The 18,676-nt window shown below is 42.5% G+C and overlaps 6 annotated features.

The window, feature by feature from the left end:
- Positions 1,682-2,182: an enhancer, noted in NCBI's record as "H3K4me1 hESC enhancer chr13:41120371-41120871 (GRCh37/hg19 assembly coordinates)". NCBI's record gives its function as "activates a minimal SCP1, AML or CMV promoter by ChIP-STARR-seq in primed H9 embryonic stem cells {active_cell/tissue: H9 hESC(primed)}" and the evidence as "EXISTENCE:reporter gene assay evidence [ECO:0000049][PMID:30033119]".
- Positions 2,183-2,683: an enhancer, noted in NCBI's record as "H3K4me1 hESC enhancer chr13:41119870-41120370 (GRCh37/hg19 assembly coordinates)". NCBI's record gives its function as "activates a minimal SCP1, AML or CMV promoter by ChIP-STARR-seq in primed H9 embryonic stem cells {active_cell/tissue: H9 hESC(primed)}" and the evidence as "EXISTENCE:reporter gene assay evidence [ECO:0000049][PMID:30033119]".
- Positions 6,587-7,134: an enhancer, noted in NCBI's record as "H3K27ac hESC enhancer chr13:41115419-41115966 (GRCh37/hg19 assembly coordinates)". NCBI's record gives its function as "activates a minimal SCP1, AML or CMV promoter by ChIP-STARR-seq in naive H9 embryonic stem cells {active_cell/tissue: H9 hESC(naive)}" and the evidence as "EXISTENCE:reporter gene assay evidence [ECO:0000049][PMID:30033119]".
- Positions 7,135-7,684: an enhancer, noted in NCBI's record as "OCT4-NANOG-H3K27ac hESC enhancer chr13:41114869-41115418 (GRCh37/hg19 assembly coordinates)". NCBI's record gives its function as "activates a minimal SCP1, AML or CMV promoter by ChIP-STARR-seq in naive H9 embryonic stem cells {active_cell/tissue: H9 hESC(naive)}" and the evidence as "EXISTENCE:reporter gene assay evidence [ECO:0000049][PMID:30033119]".
- Positions 7,685-8,234: an enhancer, noted in NCBI's record as "OCT4-NANOG-H3K27ac hESC enhancer chr13:41114319-41114868 (GRCh37/hg19 assembly coordinates)". NCBI's record gives its function as "activates a minimal SCP1, AML or CMV promoter by ChIP-STARR-seq in naive and primed H9 embryonic stem cells {active_cell/tissue: H9 hESC(naive and primed)}" and the evidence as "EXISTENCE:reporter gene assay evidence [ECO:0000049][PMID:30033119]".
- Positions 10,550-10,844: a silencer, noted in NCBI's record as "tiled region #6999; K562 Repressive non-DNase unmatched - State 24:Quies". NCBI's record gives its function as "represses a minimal TATA promoter and a strong SV40 promoter by Sharpr-MPRA in K562 cells {active_cell/tissue: K562}" and the evidence as "EXISTENCE:reporter gene assay evidence [ECO:0000049][PMID:27701403]".

The following is an 18,676-nucleotide window of genomic DNA, read 5'->3' as shown; positions in this document are numbered from 1 at the left end:
TGTACTTGTAAACACATCTTCTGAGACTCAAAAGTTCTTAGAGCCCTATGAGCTATATTTTTTAAATCAATATTATCTGTAAGTTTCTAGTTCCCCTCTGACTCCATTTTTCTGTCTTCAATAATTGTTATTCCATTAAAAACATGGCTATAATTTTCAAAATCCTGGATAGGACTGGCTGGAAGCATTTAACAGCTGTATGGAATCTCATCTAACCATCATGTGCCTTTTTTTTGGAAACAACAATCTGAGCAATTGTCCTTGTCTTTTGTAAGAAAATCACATGATTAAAAAAATAGATGACTAGCAATATTGTTGTCACTTGGTTACTGGCAGGAGTAGGGAGAGGGAGGAAGACATAGGAAAAATGCTTTCTTGGATCCCTCAGCCACACCAATCTGCAAACCTTTCTGGAGTAAATAATTTCCTTTGTCATTTCTGAATAACTAAAAAAAGACTTCAGAATGTTTCCAGGCCTGGGCATTCTATCATGTAATACTTCCAGCATTTGAGTTACCTTTCCTTGCTTAAAGAGTTGGCTCAAAACTCAGCCATGTTCCCCACTGCTGGATCTGAGTGTTGGGGAGACTGCTATGAATTGTATGAATGAAAGTTCTGTGTTCGTTACGGACAATAATGGCCCCTCTGGGATTAGAAGACATTTGAATCAGCTCCCAAAGGTGCTGCTTTGACCTTAGTAAGCATTCTGAAACCAAGCTTCCCACTGCCTCCAATGTGTCATCCAGAAAGAGAGCTGCAGGCTTACCCCTGACAGGGAGGTGCCTGTCATCTTGTAGACTATAGAGAATAGAGGCCCCATATATGAAATGTTTGGAAGCAGCAAGGCTGGACATTGACCAGCATAAAGCAAGTGTTGGAATTTGTTGTTTCTCTGCAAAATAAGCTGATTTTTTTTTTCCAGGGTACTTCTAAGACTTGTAGAAGAAAAACTATGATTAAGAAAAGTGGATGGATTATTAAGAAAGGCTTTTTATTCAAAAGGTTTTGTGATTTTAATAGCGCTTTGCATTTATAATACCTTCCATCCAAGGATACCAGCCACCTCTGCCAACGCTAATTCCTCAGCCTCTCCTTGAATTTAAAAGAGTAGAGCAAACCTATTCGCCGTGGACCATGCAGAAGTGAAAAGTGAGTCCCCTGGGCGGGGGGAGTTTAGTTACCCAAGACCCTGAGGGAACCTGTTGTAAGGGAACTTCAGAGATAAGACTTTCTCAAAATGTGAGCTACTAACTGTTGGCAACAGAATTACTTGGAAAGATTTGTAAAAAATGCAAATTCCAGAACCTCTGAGAAGGAGAAACAGAATCTTGGATCGGGGTGTGATGGTGGAGAAATCTATATTTTAATTATTCCGGGTGATTTTTATGAACACTGAAATTTGAGAACTGCTCTTAGACTACAGAAATGCTGTAATATTTTCTGCCATTCATTCATTCAATAATTACATTTACCTACTGAGTATCCGCTGTGTAGCAGGCCCTATGCAAGATGCTGGGGACATCCTATGTGGTGATCGGGACAGACGCGCTGTCTTTCCTCATGAGGCTTGCAGTCTTCTGCTGCTCTTTAGTGTGTAGTGTGGGTTAGCAGAAAGATGTCATGAAGTATTCTGTAAAAATAGGCTCCTTGGATCAAATAAATACTGGGCTGATAGCAGGCCATGAAACTGAAAATCTCATCATTCATCAGAGGCTTTTCCCTGCCTGACCTACTGTGGGTGCTGCATAAGTGAGTTGGACAGCCTGGCCTCCTGCTCCAGGAGCTTGCGCATCTGGGCCTGCTTTGGCCTCTCCTCTGGTCTTGCCAGCACAAGGATCAATCCCTGAATAACACTGTGGAGTGGCATTGAAACCGTTTGAGCGAAAGGCAGATCTGGAAACCGGCTTATTTGATCCGGGGGGACCACATGGCTGAGTTAAATGCATCCAGGTCTGAGGAAAATAACAACCCAGCCCCCGCGGAGGGTCTGTTTTCCATTGGAAATGGGCCTCTCTTTTCTTAAAGCTGCGAAAGAGAAGCAACTCCTCTTGCAAGATCTTTGAGGGAGCATAAGCTAGACCCAGTTGTTGGTGCTGGGATGAGTTTCCCATACTCCAGGCTGGGCAGACACCACCTTGCTCCAGGCCAACTCCAGGGCAGAGGCAGCTCCAGGGCAACTTCCAAACCCCTGGTGAGGGAGCAGCAGCCGAGGTGGGAGCCGCCTGGGGCAGGGCCAGACACTCCATGATGATAACACTTTGACACTTCATTTGGGTGGTGTCCTCAGGCCGAGCTCTGTTTCATGCTACAAACGCTGAGGAACACTTGAAGGAGGATGCCTGGATTTTTTGTATGTTGTTTGTAAAATGTCCCCCAAAGTGGACATAAATCAATCTCTGTTGCAAAAAGAATCAAGGATCATATCCAATACAATCTGACCTTTCCTGATGCCTCAGGGGCGTCATTAGGAACATCTGTGATGGCGCAGAGTTGGTGTTCAGCGATGTCCTCAGGGCTGTGGAGGTCGCTCCTGTTTTTGGACTCTGTCCTACCCCCTTCCCTTGCCTTCTCTCTCTCCTCTCCCCCCTTCCTTCCCTCCCTTTCTGCCTTCCTTCCTCTCTTCCTCCCTCAATCCTTCCAACTCCCTACTCTCTCTCTGTCTCTCACTTATTCTTTATCATGGAAAATTTGAAACATAAAAAAAAGGTAGAAAGAATTAAAAATATAATAAAGCCCCATGAGTTCTTCTTCTTTTTTTTTTTTTTTGAGACAGAGTTTCGCTCTTGTTGCCGAGGCTGGAGTGCAGTGGTGTGATCTTGGCTCACTGCAACCTCCGCCTCCCTGGTTCAAGCGATTCTCCTGCCTCAGCCTCCTGAGTAGCTGGGATTACAGGCATGCGCCACCACACCTGGCTAATTTTTTGTATTTTTAATAGAGACAGGGTTTCTCCATATTGGTTAGGCTGGTCTTGAACTCCTGACCTCAGGTGATCCGCCTGCCTTGGCCTCCCAAAGTGCTGGGAGTTCTCCTTACTTGGGTTGAATAATTATCAGCTCATGGCTAAACTTGCTTCATACACAGTCAAGCGTCGCTTAACAACAGGGATGTGTTCTGAGAAATGTATGGTTAAGCAATTCTGTTGTTACGTGGACATCGTAGAGTGCACTTGGACAAATCTAGATGGTATAGCCTACTACACACCTGGGGTATAATGGTACAGCCTGTGGCTCCTAGGCTACACACCTGTACAGCATATTACTGTACTGAATACTGTAGGCAACTATAGCACAGTGGTATTTGTTATCTAAACATATCTAAACATAGCATAGAAAAGGTACAGTAAAAATATGGTATAAAAGACAAAAATGGTACACCTCTATAGGGCACTTAACATGCATGGAGCTTGCAGGACCGGCAGTTGCTCTGGTGAGTGAGTGAGTGAGTGGTGAGTGAATGTGAAGGCCCGGGATATTACTGTATACTTCTGGAGACTTGATAGATGCTGTGCACTTAGGCTACGCTACGTTTGTACCAGATAGTTTCCCTCTTCAATAATAAATTAACCTTAGCTTACTGTACCTTTATTAACTTGAAATTTTTTTTGGCTTTTTGACTCTTTTAACAACACTTAATGCATACATTGTATAGCTGTCTAAAATACTTTCTTTGTATCCTTATTCTATAAGGTTTTTTCTATTCTTAAATTGTTTAATTTTTTTACTTTTTTTTTGGGTGGAGACAAGTTCTCACTACATTACCCAAGTTGGTCTTGAACTCCTGGCCTCAAGCAATCCTCCTGTCTTGGCCTCCTAAGGTGTTGGGATTACAAGTGTGAGCCACTGTACCTGGCCTATATTTTTACTTTTTAAATGTTTTTGTTAAAAACGAAGACACAAACACACACATTAGCCTAGGCCTTCACAGGGTCAGGATCATCAATATCACTGTCTTTCGTCTCCACATCTTGTCCCACTGGAAGGTCTGCAGGGGCAATTACATGCATAGAGCTGTCATCTCCTATTATGATAACAAGGCCTTCTTCTGGATACCTCCTGCAGGACCTGCCTGAGGCTGTCTTACAGTTAACATTTAAAATATATATATATGTAGAAGGAGTACACTCTAAACCATAAAAAACAGTAACATGGTCATTTATTATCATTATCAAGGATTATGTATTGTACATAATTGTATGTGCTGTACTTTTGTATGACTGGCAGTGCGGTAGGTTGGTTCATACAAGCATCACCACAAACACACAAGTATGCATTGCTCTAGGGCAGTACAACAGCTACCATGTTACCAGGTGATAGACAATGTTCAGCTCTATTATCTTGTAAGATCACTGTCATGTGTGGTCCATCTCTGACCAAAACGTTATGCAGTACGTGACTGTATCCTCATCCTCAATAATCCTTGGTTATTATTCTAGAATTTGAAATAAATGGAATCATATCATTTACTATGTACATTTTTTTGCTCCTGGCTTCTTTTACTTGCGTATTATTTTTGAAATTCGTTCATGTTGTTGCTTGTATCAATAATTTGGTCCTTTTTATTTATTTTTATTATTATTGTTTTGAGATGAAGTCTCATTCTGTTGCCCAGCTTGGGTACAAGGGTGCGAACTCAGCTCACTGCAAGCTCCGCCCCCCGGGTTCAAGGGATTCTCCTGCCTCAGCCTCCCAAGTAGCTGGGATTACAGGCATGCACCACCACACCCAGCTAATTTTCTTATTTTTAGTATAGACTAAAATTTTTCTTATTTTTAGTCTATACTAAAAATTTTCTTATTTTTAGTATAGACTATGTTGGCCAGGCTGGTCTCAAACTCCTGACCTCAAGTGATCCACTCACCTCAGCCTCCCAAAGTGCTGGGATTACAGGCGTGAGCCACCACGCCCAGCTAGGTCCTTTTTATTTTTAAGTAGTATTGCAATGTGTAGATATACCAGTTGGTTTATCCATTCTTCTGTTGATAGACATCTGGGCTATTTCCAATTTTTGACTATTATGGATAAAGGTGCTATACACACTTTTGTACACATTTTTTTTGTGGGCATTATATTTTCATTTCTCTTGAGTGGGATACTTAGGAATGTGATTGCAGGATCATAGGTATATTCAATTTTTTAAGAAAATGCCAAATGGTTTTCCAAAGTGGCTGTACCAGTTTACACTCCCACCAGCAATGCATGAGAGTTCTGGTTGTTCCATGTCCTCTCCAAAATCTGGTATTTTTCATCTTGTTAATTTTAGCTATTTTAGTGTTTGTAGTGGTATCTTATTATGATTTTAACTTGCATTTCCCTGATGATTATGATGGTGAATGCTTTTTCATGTGCTTATTGACCATTTGTATGTCTTGTGAAGTGTCTATTCAAGTATTTTATCCATGTTTAAATTGCATTGTCTTTTTATTATTTTATTATTTTTTGTTTTTTTATTGAGTTGTAGGAGGTCTGTATATATTCTGCATATAAGCTATAGGAATGTATGTGTATATAAGTATGTAATATCTTTGTACATGATATAGATTAGATATAATATATATTCAGACACAGGTGTTGCACATATTTTCTCCTAATGTTACCTATTTTCTTGAGTGCCTTTTGATGAACAATTTTAAATTTTGATGAAGTTCAATTTATTACTTTTTTTCTTTTGTGATTTGTGCTTTCTGTGTCTTCATCAAGAAATCTTTACTTTCCCCTGTATTCTCTTATGTTTTCTTCTAATGACATTGTGTTTATATATGTGCACAGAAACTAAAAAAAGCAACAACAAGAAAAGCATAACCACAAAACGCAGCATAATACATAAAGAATAAAATTTCTTAATATTATCAAATACCCAGTTAGCACAATGTTCACATTTTCTCACTTACTTTTTAGGTTTTTCTTATGATTTGTTAATACAAATTAGAATCCAGATAACATCCATATTATAATACATTGCTTTTTTTTTTTTTTCTGAGACAGAGTCTTATTCTGTCATCCAGGCTGGAGTGCAGTGGTACAATCTCGGCTCACTGCAACCTCCGCCTTCCAGGTTCAAGCAATTCTCCTGCCTTAGCCTCCCGAGTAGCTGGGATTACAGGTGCACGCCTGGCTAATTTTTTTGTATTTTTAGTAGAGACAGGGTTTCACCATGTTGGCCAGGCTGGTCTTGAACTCCTGACCTCGTGATCTGCCTGCCTCGGCCTCCCAAAGTGCTGGGATTACAGGCGTGAGCCATTATGCCTGGCAATACATTGCTTTTTTTGATATGTATTCTAAGAGTTTTTCTTAGTGTACAGGTCACCCCCATTTTTTTTTTTGGTACTGTTTTTAAGAAACTGTGTCATTTGTAGCGTGTCTCATAGTTTGGACTTTGCTGATTTTATCCTCATGGTGCCATTAGTATATTTCTCTGCCCCTGTGTAACCTGAAAACTAGATCTAGAGGCTTGGTCATATTTAGGTCCAGTCTTTTTTTTCTTTTTTTTTTTCTTTCTTTTTTGGAGATGGAGTCTTGCTCTTGTCACCCAGGCTGGAGTGCAATGGTAAGCTCTCAGCTCACTGCAACCTCCGCCTCCCAGGTTCAAGCGATTCTCCTGCCTCAGCCTCCTGAGTAGCTGGGATTACAGGCACCTGCCACTACACCCAGCTAATTGATGTATTTTTAGTAGAGACAGGGTTTCGCCATGTTGGTCAGGCTGGTCTCGAACTCCTGACTTCAGGTGATCCACCCACCTTGGCCTCCCAAGTGCTGGGATTACAGGCGTGAGCCACTGCGCCTAGCCTAGGTCCAGTCTTTGTCAAGAATACTTTATAGTATTCTGCGACTAGACAGGGTGGGAAGCACATGATGTCCACTTGCCTTTTGTATGATATTAGCAGCCATTGATGACCATTGTTATTGTCATTATTTCATGAAGATTACAAAATGGTGATATTCTAATTCTACCATTTCTTCTTCCTTTTTTTTTGTTTGAGACAGAGTCTTGGTCTGTCTCCCAGGCTGGAGAGCACTGGCGTGATCTCAGCTCACTGCAACCTCTGCCTCCTGGGTTCCAGCTTCAAGTGATTCTCGTGCCTCAGCCTCCCAAGTAGCTGGGACTACAGGCACATGCCAGCACACCCAGCTAATTTTTGTATTTTGAATAGAGATGGGTGTCCGCCATGTTGGCCAGGCTGGTCTTGAACTCCTGACCTCAGGTGATCCGCCTGCCTCAGTCAAAGTGCTGGGATTACAGGCATGAGCCACCATGCCTGGCCCAGTTCTACCATTTCTTCTAAATTCATTAGCTGAAAACTCTTGTGGTTATAATTCCTTGAAATGACTATTTGGATGCCCTATCCTCTATCTTGAATAGCTCCAGGAATGCCCGGAATAATTTCTAGAGTTATTTATCTGCTTTGTATCACTAGTTTTTAAGTTTTCCGCACAGTGTTAGGCTACAGTTGTTGCTTATTAATATTTACAACAACAAGAAAAATAATCATTATGTTCTGAGCACTCTGGGGGCAGGGTCTAACTGAAGCACTCATCAGATCCTCTGAGCTGGAAATTATTATTCATAGACACTATGGCTTTCCACATAAGGTGACAGATTTATCAAACAATCTCTGATCTTCCGTACGGGTTTCTTCCACGCCATTGTCTCCAGTATGGATATGTGGAAGATTTTCCTCTCCTTTAACTTTTTAGGTTTGAAAATATTTCTACCATTAAATGCCTTTCGCTGTGTGAAATAATATGAACCCAGGATAAACATTCAAATAATAGGATGTTGACTATTCCCATTAAAGTTGAAAGAGGAGGCCCATAGCTACAGCATGAGTCATCCCTACTCTGGCCGCTTACTGTGTCAAGTCAGGAATTTAAACAGATCCTTTGCCCCTCACAAAGGCTCCGTTTCCTCCTCAGTAGAATGGGAAAAAATAATACTGGGTCATGACTTTGTGCCAAAGAGGTGTTTCCCACTATAGACCAACTGGAGACAGCTTGGGCAGATGCTGGGGTCTGAAACCTTTTCCAAATAAATATAGGAGAACACCATCAGAGGGAACACGCCCTCCCTGGTGAGATTCCCCATTTTACCTTCTTCGTGGCTTAGTGTCTTCTAAAAGGAAATGATCTAAGTGACTAGATGTGTGAAGGAAATTATTAAACAGAATACTCAAAATTGGCCTTGATATGAGAGAAGAAAGTGTTTAGGGTTTGAAAGACTAATGAGTTTATGCGACATACTAGTCCCTTTCGCAGGAACAGATACTTTTCAGCTGGTTCATAGGCAGGTTTGCATTCTCTCTTGATTGGACGAGGGGGATTATTTCTTGTATATTAGGCTGCTTATGGCTTCTGCTTCCTAGCCCTTGATTCTCTTTCACAATTATCTTCCACAAGCCAGCAGTTTCTATTCCTTTGCACATTTAACTCAGCTATAAGATGATCTGTTTCCCCTCAAAACCCCACCAAAGATTGCTGTTGATTTTCTCGAAGATACAGATACTTTCAGTAAATGTTGACCCGTCTCTGTTGTTTTGAGCTGGAGAGTCAATTTTACACATAGAGTGACTGTGCATCCCAGTTTTCCCAGGACAAACTTACGCTTGTTGCCATACTGTAGTTATTAACAGTACCCTCTTTCACTTTCAAAAGTGTCCTGGTTTGAATGACAAATCACGTGGACACCCTGTTTATACACAATAGTTACCCGTTACTTTTCTTCTATTGCATAAGAGGGAAATGGAAGATCACCCTTAAAATATCACAGTAATAATTGCCTTAGAAAGATCTACTGATGAATGGTAAGTTAGAGGGCAAAAGGGAGAAATAGGATATCTACATAATCAAAGCATCTCCAAATCTACAAAGCATCTCCCCTCAAATATTTTCTAATTATAAAGGGGGAAAAGAATGAGATTACAGTGGAAAAACCTGGAAGATACCACTTTTGCCAAATGATCAAGATTATCATCACCAGTGGTAAGATAAATCGACATCATGTACTTTTTTTTTGAGACAGGGTCTCACTCTGTTGCCCAGGCTGGAGTGCAGTGGTGCCATCTCAGCTCACTGCAACCTCCACCTCCCAGGCTCAAGTGATTCTCGTGCCTCAGCCTCCCTAGTAGCTGGGATTACAGGCACATGCCACCACGCCTGGCTAATTTTTGTATTTTTAGTAGAGACAGGGTTTCACCATGTTGGACAGGCTGGTCTTGAACTCCTGGCCTCAAATGATCCACCCTACTTGGCCTCCCAAAGTGTTGGGATTACAGGCGTGAGCCACCGCGCCTGGCCTGTATATCCATATTGTACCTGCAATAATATAGCACACTGTGTTTCATGTATTACATAACCTGTATATTGCTTAAAGTATGGTTTCTACATTCTGGAAGTTAGGGAAAGGTAAAAAGACCAACGCCTTTTTAGTTGTGCAAACTTGAGTACCAGCTCTGTCCATTATTAGCCATTTGCCTTTGAGGAAATTATTTAAGCTCTTGGGCCTCAGTTTCCTCATATACTTTCTTATATGATGCACTGAAAAGGGCACGTCACCTCTGTGGGAATCTTGCCAGAAATGTATAACCTGTTTAATGGTGAGAAAACACATCAGACAAACCCAAGTTAAGGGATATCCTACAAAATATCTGACTAGGACTCTTACAAATTGTCAAGGTCCTGAAGGACAAGAAAACACAGAGGAACTGTCTCAGCTTGCAGAGCACATGAGGATAAATGCAGCAAAGGATCCTGGATTGGATCTTGAAACAGAAAAAGAAGACATTAGTGGAGAATCTGGTGAAATCCAAGTATAGGTAACAGTATCATACCAGAGTTAATTTCTTGGTTTTGATTATTGTACTATCAGTATGTAAGTCATTAACAGTAGGAGAAGCTGGATGAAGGGTATGTAAAAACTCTCTTTCCTACTTTTTTTTTCCCCAAGACAGAGTCTCACTCTGTTGCCCCAGCTGGAGTTCAGTGTCACTGTCATGGCTCACTGCAGACTCAAACTCCTGCACTCAATGGATTCTCCTGCCCCAGCCTCCCAAGTGTCTGGCATTACAGGTACGCACCACCACACCCAATAATCTTTTTTTTTTTTTTGAGAGGGAGTCTCGCTCTGTTGCCCAGGCTGGAATGCAGTGGCGTGATCTCAACTCGCTGCAATCTCTGCCTCCTGGGTTCAAGCAATTCTCCTGCCTCAGCCTCCCAAGTAGCTGGGACTACAGGAGCCCACCACCACACTTGGATGATTTTTGTATTTTTAGTAGAAATGGGGTTTCACCATGTTGGCCAGGCTTGTCTCGAACTCCTGACCTCAGATGATCTGCCTGCCTCAGCTTCCCAAAGTGCTGGGATTACAGGCATGAATCACCACGTCTGGCCCCAATAATCTTTTATATATATATTATTATTATTATTATTATACTTTAAGTTCTAGGGTACATGTGCACAATGTGTGGGTTTGTTACATATGTATACATGTGCCATATTGGTATGCTGCACCCACCCAATAATCTTTCTATTTTAATTGTTTTGCAGAGATGGGAGTCTCTCTATGTTGGCCAGGCTGGTCTCGAACTCCTGGGCTCAAGAGATCCTCTGGTCTTGGCCTCCCAAAGTGCCAGGATTACAAGCATGAGCCCCCGTGCCAGCTCTTTTAAAAATCAGGAAAGCACAGGAAAAGAGTGAGTGGGTACGCTTGGCTGGAAGTCAAGGGCCTGGCACGGGGTTGTGGAGCCAGGCTCTTCCTGGCGGCGGGGCTGTGGGGAGCTGGATGGCTGGACTGAGGTTACTGAGAGCCCTCCTCAGCCGAGCAGCAGGGGATTTACCCATCAAAGTAATCAGGGACAGAGTCTGAACCTGTCCCCATTGGCTCAAGATAATTAAAAGGGGATGGAAAAAATGTTATCTTTTAAAGGGCTTTGGGAGGTTGAGGCCTTCGCAGGAGAATGGCCAGGAGACTAGTGTGTGCAAAGAGGCAGGCGGATGATCCCCATCCTACAGGGGCATTTATTTTGTGGACACCGGGGTCACCTGGGAAGCAGGTCTGGCCTCAGTTCTCCGGCCTGGGGCACTGTTTGTTCTGTGTCTCGCTTGTGGAATAAAGAGGATTCCTGTTTCAGTGAGGAACCACACCTGCTCAGAGGGAAAATACTCTGCTTGTCAGAATCTTTCACTTTCTGTGAACCAGCTCCTTGGCCTGATAGGGTCACAGGGCCCAGGAGTGGTCAAGGAAGCTTCTGTGAATGTATTGAACGTCAAGAGTGTCCAGGGGGATGTGTGGTGTTTGGCCCGATTCCTGTCATTGCCAGTGGAAATGCCATCTCTGGAGTTTGCCCCAGGTGTTTGTGAAGCAGGTTGGGATTCGGAGCTGAACGCTCCTCTAAAGATATGTGCTGGCTTCTTATGTCATGGCTAGACAGCCCCTGCTGGGCCTGTTTGCTGTCCCTTTCTCTTTGCCCCTGAGTTGTGTCAGGAGATTTGAGGAACTTCTGACTCATCCTAGCAAGTGGCTATGGCCTTTTTGCAAAAAGCTGTGTCCCAAGGGAAGAGGCAAATGTGACCCAGGTAGGTGCCAGCAGTCACATGGCTTGCAGGGATGACAAGCTCAAACAGGACTTGATGGCTGGGTGTGATGGAAACCATAACACATGATTCTTGGGAGCAGGTCCGTGCTGGCTGGCAGGATATTTGGCTCTGTTTGTGTTTGAACAGTCTGACAACAGCCATAAAGCCTAGCAGCTGTGAGGTATTTCAGGTACCGGAGGACTTCTGGACTTCGGTTAACCTTGGGGTCTTGGGAGTAGAACTTTAGCTTTGAATAATTTAAGGGCTTGGCCTGTAACCTCACGCCTGTAACCCCAGCGCTTTGGGAGGCCAAGGTGGGCGGATCACTTGAGGTCAGGAATTAGAGACCAGCCTGGGAAACATAGCGAAACCCCCTCTCTACAAAAAAAAAAAAAAAAAAAAAAAAAAAAAAAAAAAAGAAAGAAAGAAAGAAAAAAAAAAAGAGCCAGGTGTGGGGGCACGTGCCTGTAGTCTTAGCTACTTGGGAGCTGAGGAAGGAGGATTGTGTGAGCCCAGGAGGTCCAGGATACAGTGAGCCATGATTGTGCCACTGCACTCCGGCCTGGGTGGCAAAGCAAGACCCTGTCTCACAAAAATAAAAAATAAAAAAAAAAAAAAAATAAAAAAAGGAAGCAGTGAGACAGCTCTTACTTAGAAAAGGAACCCTTAAGCCCTCTGCATATTCAGTTCTGGAGACTCTGCTAAGAGCAGCCCTTCCATTCATTAATTTCCTGAAGAAATGGATTTAGATATATTGCTGTATTTTTTTCTTCCAGAAGTTGATCCCTAGATGCCAGATAAACATCCCCTTGATCTTCTGGGAGCCTAAGGTTTTTACTTGGTCCCATGGGATGCAATAGGGCTAAGGCCTTCATGGAAAGTTGGAAGTCAAACTCGGGAGGGAGATTAGCCCAGCCTCAGCGACCCCTCCTCTTTGGACCTGTGATAGAGATTAATGAAATCCGGGGATTAGTACCGAAGATATCGTGTGCTGGCATGAGCGCGGGCTCTGGGCCTTTCTGGGTCCCAGGCTGGGAGCTGGCTGAGGCGCTGGAGAGGAGCAGTAAGGAAGGTTGGCATCTGGGTGGACCCGATGTCAGGCCTGGCCCGCGCACCCACCAGTTATGTAACCTTGGGCAAATGTCCTCCCTGAGCTGAGCCTTTCTTTCCTCATGGACTAAACAGGGTAAGACGACCTTGTTTTCCAGATGGTGTGGGGCCGGAACAGCACAGGGAGTGTCGGCACCCGCTTGGCGCTGGCGTTAGCGTCCGCAGCTCTGCGGCTGGGCTTTCTGCTCATCTCCTCGAAGGAGATCTTAGGGTCTTCATTTTGAAAAGGGGAGATGGAGTGGAGCTGCTGGGCCCGGCTGCGGAGGTGGTGGTTTCGTGCGTGGGCGCGAGGACGGCTTTGGCAGCCCTTTCCGTGCCCTTTCCATGGTGCCAGGCCGGTTCTGGAGGTGACAGGGCTGACCGGTCTGTGTGGGCTCGAGACACGGCCGCAGCCCTTTGAAGCTCTTTTAAACTTCTTCATCATTTCAGAATCATCACTGGAAAATTCTTTTCGTCAGATGTGTGCCCTGCCAGGTCATCTGGCAGCTCAAGTGCTCTATTTTTTTATTTTTATTTTTAATATTTTTTGAGACGAAGTCTCGCTCTGTCACCCAGGCTGGAGTGCAGTGGCACCATCTCGGCTCACTGCAACCTCCGCCTCCCGGGTTCAAGCGATTCTCCTGCCTCAGCCTCCTGAGTAGCTGGGATTACAGGCATGTGCCACCACGCCTGCTAATTTTTGTATTTTTAGTAGAGATGGGATTTCACCATTTTGGTCAAGCTGGTCTTGAACTCCTGACTTCGTGATCTGCCCACCTTGGCCTCCCAAAGTGCTGGGATTACAGGCATGAGGCACCGTGCCCGGCCTATTTTTAATTTTTTTTGGCCAGTGAAACACGCTGCAAGTCCCCCTTTTGTTCAGTCTCCTTGTGCAAGCCTTGGTGTTAGAAGCCATCATAGCCACTGGTTTGGGTTGAAATCTTAGATGCCAAACTTTACTGCATTACCTCATTTAATCCCTGCATCTGTCCTGCAAGGAAGGTGTTTTTATTCCTGTTTTCCTGAAGAGGAGTCTGGGATTGGAAAGGTTAAGCATTTACTTAAGCTTGCTGAACACAGCCCATCTGTCCAACCCCGAAGGCCACGTTCTTTACCACCATGCTATGTTGCGTCACTCAGATAAATCCAGAGAATGTGTTCAGCATTTTCTTTGGCTCTGTGTCCAGAGCAAGCGACTGATATCCACACTCAGATATGAAAAAACCTGTTACTCACCTGACAGGTGTCACTTTCAATTTTTAGGAAGTGCCTTTTTTGTTTAACAGCTTCATTGAAGTATAATTTACATATCATAAATTCACCCATTTTTAGTGTAAACTTAAATAACATTACTCGTGAATATGTAAGCTTTGATGTTCATGCAACCATTTATTTATTTATTTATTTTTGAGACGGAGTCTCGTTCTGTTGCCCAGGCTGAAGTGCAGTGGCGCGATCTCGGCTCGCTGCAACCTTGACCTCCTGGGTTCAAGCAATTCTTCTGCCTCAGCCTCTTGAGCAGCTGAGACTACAGGCACACGCCACCACACCTGGCTAATTTTTTGTATTTTTAGTAGAGACGGAGTTTCACCATGTTGGCCAGGTTGGTCTCGAACTCCTGGCCTCAAGTGATCCACCTGCCTCGGCCTCCCAAAGTGTTGGGATTACAGGTGTGAGCCACCTCGCCCAGCCGTGTGCAGCAATGTAAAGTATTTTCTTTAAAAATAAGCTGTTTAATGGATCTGATTTCACTGGGTTGACTGTTATAAATGGTGGTGGGATGCCAAGGCACAGGCTGTGTGCAGCACCACAGTGGTCACAAACCATGACTAAAACACCTCCAGATCCCTGCTCAGCACGTCCTCTCCCATGTGTGGGTCATATCCTTGTGTTGGTGGTTGGTTTCCATTTCCTTTGCAACATCCCAGGGATGGGAGGCAGCAGTTCCACGCTCTGTATGGGTTTGAAGACGCGGGACGTAAGTTATGGTTATTTGGTTTTTATATTATTATAAAAATTTATTTATTATTATTTATATGCCATCTATTTCCACACATCAATTGTGTTAATAGCAAAGGTAGAAAGCTGAGAGCTAAATAATTAAGAGAGAGCAAAGTAATTAATTAAAAGCCTTTCTCTCTTCCTTACTGTTTCTCTTTTCTTGTTTTCAAATTGTCTTTTAATGCTCTACTATTATTTATTTATTTTTTTATTTTTGAGAAGGAGTTTTGCTCTGTCACCCAGGCTGCAGTGCGGCGAAGCAATTCTTCTGCCTCAGCCTCCCGAGTAGCTGGGACCACAGGCCGTGCCACCACGCCTGGCTAATTTTTGTATTTTTATTAGAGACAGGGTTTCACCGTGTTGGCCAGGCTGGTCTTGAACTCCTGACCTCAGATGTTCTGCATGCCTTGGCCTCCCAAAGTGCTGGAATTACAGCTGTGAGCCACCGCGCCCAGCCGCTCCACTTTTTATTAGGGAACATTTCGAATGTGCACAAATGTAGAATAGTGTAATAATGCCTGTGTGCTCATTACCTTTTGTCCCCATCGCCTCCACACCAGAATGTTTGGAAACAAATGCTTTGAATTATCTGCAAATATTTGTAAATACTTCAGTATTTGTCTTTAAAAGATAAGAAGTATTTTAAAAAAAACCACAATATGATAATGCCTTAAAAATCAACAATAATTCCTTATTGTTCATTAGTCTTCATATTTCCCTGATAGCCTGACACAGTTTTATTGAGGTATAATTTACAAGCTGTAAACTTCACCCATTGTAAATATACCGTTTGATTGTTAGTAATTTTTTTTTCTTTGAGACATAATCTTGCTCTGTCTCCAGGCTGGAGTGCAGTGGTGCAATCTCGGCTAACTGTAACCTCTGCCTCCCGGGTTCAAGCCATTCTCCTGCCTCAGCCTCCCCAGTAGCTGGGACTACAAGTGTGCGCCACCATGCCCAGCTAATTTTTCTATTTTTAGTAGAGATGGGATTTCACCATGCTGGCCAGGATGGTCTCCATCTCTTGACCTTGTGATCCACCTGCCTCGGCCTCCCAAAGTGTTGGGATTACAGGCGTGAGCCACCACGCCGGCCTATTGTTAGTAAATTTAAACAGTTGTGCAAACATCGCCACAATCCAGGTTTAGAGCATTTATGTATTTTAAATGGTTTGTTTGCATCAGAATTTTATTAGGGCTCGTGGGCTGTGATTGGTTGTCTTTTCAGTCTCTTTTAATCTATTGGTTTGCCCTCTCATTTTTCCACGCTTTTTTTTCAGTGTAGAAATGTGTCTTTGTCTTTAGAATTTCCAAAAGTCTAGATTTTGTCAACTGCATCATTGTAGTGCTATTTAACATGTCCCTCTGCCCCTTATTTCCTGTAAATTGGGTTTGGAGGCCCGATCAGATTGAGGTTAAATTTTTTTTTAGCACATACATCATAGAGGGTGTTGTGTACTTCAGATAGGATGCCATGTTGTGTGATTATTTCTCTCTTCTGGATGTTAGCAGTCTTTGATAATTATTGCACAAATTCATTATTTCATTAGGGTTGTAAAATTGTAAAATGGTGATCTTCTTTTCTTTTTCTTTCTTTTTTTTTTTTTTTTTTTTTGAGATGGAGTCTCGCCCTGTTGCCCAGGCTGCAGTGCAGTGGTACGATCTCAGCTCACTGCAATCTCCACTTCCTGGCTTCAAGTGATTCTCCTGCCTCAGCCTCCCAAGTAGCCACCACGCCTGCCTAGTTTTTGTTTTTTGTGTTTAGTAGAGACGGGGTTTTGCCATGTTGGCCAGGCTGGTTTTGAATTCCTGACCTCGTGATCCACCGGCCTCGGCCTCCCAAAGTGCTAAGATTACAGGCGTGAGCCACCACGCCCAGCCCAAAATGGTGATTTTCTAATTTCACCTTTCCTTCTTGCTTTATTACCTGGATCATTTCTCTAAAGATAAACTTCTCCTTTTAAACCATTCAGTTATTCTAACATTTAATTTGAATATGTAAGGCAAGATGAATGTTTAATTCTACCATTTTTCAAAATAATGAGTTGATTTCCCAGCATCGTTCCAAGGCAACCAGTGGGTTTTGTTTTGTTTTTTAGTGTCATTATAAAGCCGGAGACTTAAGCATACTGAAAGTGTTTCAGTCGATTGCGGTTATTATTCTTTTTGATGCTTACTTAGTTGTTCCATCTTTGACCAGTGGGAATCTAGTCAAGTTGGTGGCACCTCAGTTCTTTTGGACATGACGCTAGTAGTTTTTGGTAGTTTCTTTTCTTTGTGGTTAGACAAACATTTCATGACTTATCTGGTACATTTTGTATCACAGATCTAGAATCGATCACTTCTTCAAGAAGCATTGGTTCTTTTCAGTGGAAAATCGTATTAGAGACCACAGTTTGGGTGCTAGGGGGCTCATAAATACTGGGTAGGTCATTTTTCACTAGGACTTTTAGTAGACAAAGTTGAAAAAATGTTTAAGATAAAATACATCAGTTGTTTATACTGTTACTTTCGATTCCAATTCAGGACCATAAGTTTTTATTTAGCCCAGTTGATCTTACATTTGTATCCTAGTCCTCCACTTTGAGTGTTCTCATTTTCAACCACACCAATATGATCACTTATTTACTTGATCAGCACACACAGAAGTCTTAGAAAAACTATACCAGTACTACTACAAACAATATGCTTACTGAAAACAGTTTAAGCTTTTTAAAGGTTTTTGTTGTTGTTGTTGTTGTTTCCCAGGATCTTCTACTAGGGAGTGTACAGAAAGTTTTTTGTGTTTGTTTTTTAAATTTAGACATGGGGGGTCTCACTGTTGCCCAGGCTGGACTTAAACTCCTGGGCTTAAGGGATCTTCCTGCCTCAGCCTGAAGTAGCTGAGACTACAGGCACGTGCCACCATGCCCAGCAACAACGCTGAGTTTTAGATCATTAAAGATAAATGTTTCAGTGTTTGCTTTGGTTCACTTTCAACTTTTAGGAAGTGCCTTTTTTGTTTAACAGCTTTATTGTGGCATAATTTATACATCATAAATTCCCCCATTTTAAGTTTAAGTTAAATAACTATTAATAAACTTAATAGAGTGGTACAACCATCACCAGAATTAGATTTTGAACATTTCCATTGCCCCCAAAAGCACCCAGCACCATTTGTTGAAAAGGCCATCTTTTTCCAATGGAATTGCCTTGGTGTTTTTGTTGAAAATTAATTGAACATGAGCATAGGATTTCTTGACTCTTAATTTACCTTCATTCATGTTTAGTCCTATTTTTACACCAACCTGTCTTGGTTACTACAGTTTCATAATAAGTTTTGAAAATGGGAGATGTAAGTCTTCAACTTTGTTATTTTTCAGTGTTGTTTTGGGTACTCCAGATCCTTTGCATTTCCATATAAGTTTTAAAATCAGCTTGACAATTTCTGCAAAAGTGTCTGCTGGGATTTCTGCTAGGGTTTGCATTGAATCTGAGATGACTAGGTAGTGTTGCCATCTTAACAATATTGAGTCTTCCTATCCATTAGCATGTAATGCCTCTCCATTTATTTAGACCTTCTTTGATTTCTCTCAGCAATATTTCATAGTTTTAGTGTACACATCTTGAACTTTCTTGCTAAATTTATTCCTATTTTATTCATTTTTCATGCTAGTGTGAATATAACAGTTTTTTTAGTTTTATTTTCAGATGGTTCCTAGTATGTAGAAATACAACTGACTTTTGTATATTGATCATATTCTGTGACCTTGGTGAACTTGTTTATTAAATCTAGTAGGGGTGTGTGTGTGTGTGTGTGTGTGTGTGTGTATTCCTTAGAATTCTATACAGGCTGTATTGACTATAAAAAACAGTTTTACCTCTTCCTCCCCAGCGTACATGCCTTTAATTTCTTTCCTTCTGTACCCTTCTCGGCTGCCCTTCTCTCCTCCTCCCTCCTTCTCTATCTCTTTGCCTCATTACACTGGTTAGAACCTCTAGTGCAAAGTTGAGAAGACAGTACAGAGAGCTTCCATATACCCC

The sequence above is a fragment of the Homo sapiens genome, chromosome 13, assembly GCF_000001405.40.
Source record: "Homo sapiens chromosome 13, GRCh38.p14 Primary Assembly".
NCBI classification, from domain to species: domain Eukaryota; kingdom Metazoa; phylum Chordata; class Mammalia; order Primates; family Hominidae; genus Homo; species Homo sapiens.
The sequence above is the reverse complement of the archived record's forward strand: the minus strand, read 5'-3'. Positions and strand labels throughout refer to the sequence as shown.